The sequence below is a fragment of the Homo sapiens genome, chromosome 16, assembly GCF_000001405.40.
Source record: "Homo sapiens chromosome 16, GRCh38.p14 Primary Assembly".
In the NCBI taxonomy this organism is placed as follows: Eukaryota; Metazoa; Chordata; class Mammalia; order Primates; family Hominidae; genus Homo; species Homo sapiens.
Window position 1 is genome coordinate 51,000,058 of NC_000016.10, and position 3,605 is coordinate 51,003,662.

At 41.6% G+C, this 3,605-nt stretch overlaps 1 annotated feature.

The window, feature by feature from the left end:
* Positions 2,908–3,108: a silencer, noted in NCBI's record as "peak2593 fragment used in MPRA reporter construct". NCBI's record gives its function as "represses an SCP1 promoter by STARR-seq MPRAs in K562 erythroleukemia cells {active_cell/tissue: K562}" and the evidence as "EXISTENCE:reporter gene assay evidence [ECO:0000049][PMID:32103011]".

Below are 3,605 nucleotides of genomic sequence, written 5' to 3' on the forward strand. Positions count from 1 at the left end.
GAATTCATGAAAGTGCATTGTCACAACGTTGACTTGTGTGTGAGCATTGTGCATGTAGGCAAAAACATTGAAACTTCCTCAATAAATAAAGAGATATCTGATTTGTACATGTGCATTTGTGGAGAGATAAATTTCTTGAGATCTCAATTCTTTGGGCAAATGCTTATGTGCCCGTTGCAATTTTTGACCAATCTTTTTTTTTTTTTTTTTTTTTTTGAGACACAGTCTCGCTCTGTTGCCCAGGCTGGAGTGCAGTGGCGCGATCTTTAGGTTGTGCTTCATAGTATTTCAGATGACCACAGTTACAAAGCGGGTGCACACAATTACCAGCCATAGAAATATGCCTTTATACATCTCGGTTTTCGACCTATTTCTTTGTGTGTATGGTTTGTCTCTTCATAGCTGTTAACCCAAGTGACTGTCATTAGTATACCTGACTGTTGATGCTTGCAAAAATAAAACAGGCAATAAAATATTGTCTATTTTATTGTATAACGTGGCCCATGAACTGTTCTGTCATGTTTTTGTATGTTTTGAAATAAATTTCTTTTCAAAAAGGTAAATTAATGTCTTTAAATAATTAAAAAAAATTTTTTTTAGAATTATATTTTCAGGATTTTGAATTTCAAGATTTCAACATTTTGTATCATGCGATCTAGGGCTGTGTTTTTTGGGATTGTGGCCCAAGCCTGCTGAGTTAACACATTCCCAATTCTTACCTCCTTCACTCACTCTTTACTTTCGATATGTGGCCCCACAATAGCCCTGTGAAGTAAATATTAAGAGAAGTAGTGATATTCCCATTTAACAGATGGAAACAGCGAAGCTTAAGAGGCTGTATTCTTGCTTAAGCACGCACAGCTTGAATCTTAAGCTCTTGCTCTTATAAAACACTGCACACATATTAAAAGTTGGAGATAAAGAGCGTAAGAGTCCAAAGATCCTCTGGAGGAATAATTTATTATTTGCACAAACATTTTTTGAATACCTAATTTAAGCCAGGTACCATGATAGATGCCAGGAATAAAATGGGGACCACAAGAGATATGGGGCCTTCTTTAGTGGGAGGGCAGACGTGGCCACAGAAAATGACATCCCTGAGGCCTGAGAAACGGTCATCGTCATGGTTAGGGGAGAGTAGACAGGGACAGAAGATGAGAGAAGAAATGCATAGTCGCTCATCTCCATGCATGATATGGTTTGGCTGTGTCCCCACCCAAATCTCATCTTGAATTGTAGTTTTCATAATACCCACATGTTGTGGGAGGGGCCAGTAGGAGGTAATTGAATCATGGGGGCAGTTACCTCCATGCTGTTCTCATGATGGTGAGTGACTTCTCACAAGATCTGATGGTTTTATAAGGGGCTTTCCCCAACTTTGCTCATTCTTCTCCTTGTTGCCACCCTGTGAAGAAGGACGTATTTGCTTTCCCTTGTGTCAGGATTGCAAATTTCCTGAGGCCTCCCTAGCCTTGCAGAACTGTGAATCAATTAAATCTCTTTTCTTTGTAAATTACCCAGTCTTGTGTATGTCTTTATATTAGCAGCGTGAGAACAGACTAATGCAATGCACAATCAAAATGAGAAGCATTTCCTTTTTCATATTGAAACCATTTCTGCAATTTTGCCCATATTAGATGTTTTCTTTTCTTCTTAGTGCAGTTCCCTAGGATAATTCTGGACATGCTCTTCTGTAAGCCAGGACGCTCTACCTGTCTCAGTTCAACATTTATGGAATAACTACTATAGGCCAAGCATTGTTCTGGATCAGTATAAATTGAACCATAAATGTAATTTAAAATTTTCTAATAGCCACATAAGACATACTAAAATGAAACAGCTGAAATTAAAGTGAATAGTATATTTAACTTACCCCAGTATATCCAAATTGTTATTATTTTGACAATACTATCATTATAATATGAATACAACAATTATTAATGAAATATTTTATATTCTTTTTTCATACTGAGTTTTTGAAATCCTCTGTGTATCATGCACTTACAGAACACTTCAGTTTAGACTGGACACGTTTCGAGTGCTTAATGGCCACATGTGTCCAGCGGCTACCATATTAGACAGTTAGCTGTGCATTTTATAGCATTGTTTTAGTCAATGACAAATGTTGTTTTGGTTATATGACAGTAGTCCCATAAGATTATAATACCATTTTTTTTCACTGCACCTTTTCTGTTTGAATATATTTAGATACACAAATACTTACCACTGGGTTACGATTGCCTACAGTATTCAGTACAGTCACAAGCTGTACAGGTTTGTAGCCTAGGAGTAATGGACTATACCACACAGCCTAGACGTGTAGTGGGCTGTTACATCTAGGTTAACAGAAGTGCACTCTTTGGTATTTCAACAACAACGAAATAACCTAATGACACATTTTTCAGAACATATCCACATTATTAAGCAATGCAGGTCTGTATGTCACTTTCACTAGCAACTCACTGGCTAGCACTGGTCCCACTCGCTCACACAGGGGTCAGGAAGTGTTAATGATCTTACTTGGAGCCCAGGAAGAGAGAAAACCAGAAATATTTGATGAGTGGCCCAAATGGACTAACTATACACAGCTCCCAAAAGACCCTCTCTGGGAGGCTGTTCACAGTGGTTCACGCCTATAATCCTGGCACTTCGGGAGGCCAAGGTGAGAAGATTGCTTGAGGCCGGGAGCCCAAGACCAGCCTGAGCGACATAGTGAGACTCCATCTCTACAAAAAATAAAATATTAGCCAGGTGTGGCGGTGTGTGCCTATAGTCTCAGCTCCTTGGGAGGTTGGATCCTTGAGCCCAGGAACTAGAGTCCACAGTGAGCTATGATCATGCCACTGTACTCCAGCCTGGGTGACAGTGAGACTTGTCTCCAGAAAAAAAAAAAAAAAAAAAGACCTTCTCAAGGAGTCCCTTCTCCCTCCCCCATTTCAAAGGCGTGACCCAGGCTTCTCAGGCTATCTGAGGCCTTCTATCACTGAGGACTTCCTGTTCAGCTTGGCTTCCTCCCTAGTCCAGAGTCCACACGTGCAGCAAAAGAGGAGATGTGACCAACCTTGGTGGCGTTGTGTTTCCAGGAAGTTCTATGTGGGTCTCCGTGTGTGTGGTGGGGGGACCTGCTGGGCTTTATTTTTCCCAGGGTTTCCTCTCCCTTGAATGCTGGATTAGTCCTTGCCTATCAGAAACTGATAAGGCCATGGAAAAAGTGAGGCTATGGCTGGAGACCAGAAGAGAGGCCTGGAGGGAGCTGGGAATTTTCCCATCATCCCAGGAAAAACCTGTCTTGTATCTCCGAGCCCCGCCTTTGCCCCCAGATTTCAGGGACTCATGCAAGTTTTCCACAAACCGATTTTGTTGCATAGAAATTGATGAATGAGCTCAGACAGAAACAGTTGTCATGGAAAACAGCCACTGAGATACTGGTCACCAACCAATCCCTGGCTCCAGGTCAGAGCAGACAGTGGGGACGCCAAATGGTGGAGAGAGGGGCTTTCCTTTTTCTCTGTATAAATTTCATTGATGCTCACTTCCTGTCCAGGCCATGGCTCAGCCCTAGGAGGACCTATCCTTGGCCTGGACCCCTCAGGGGCAGGACCTGG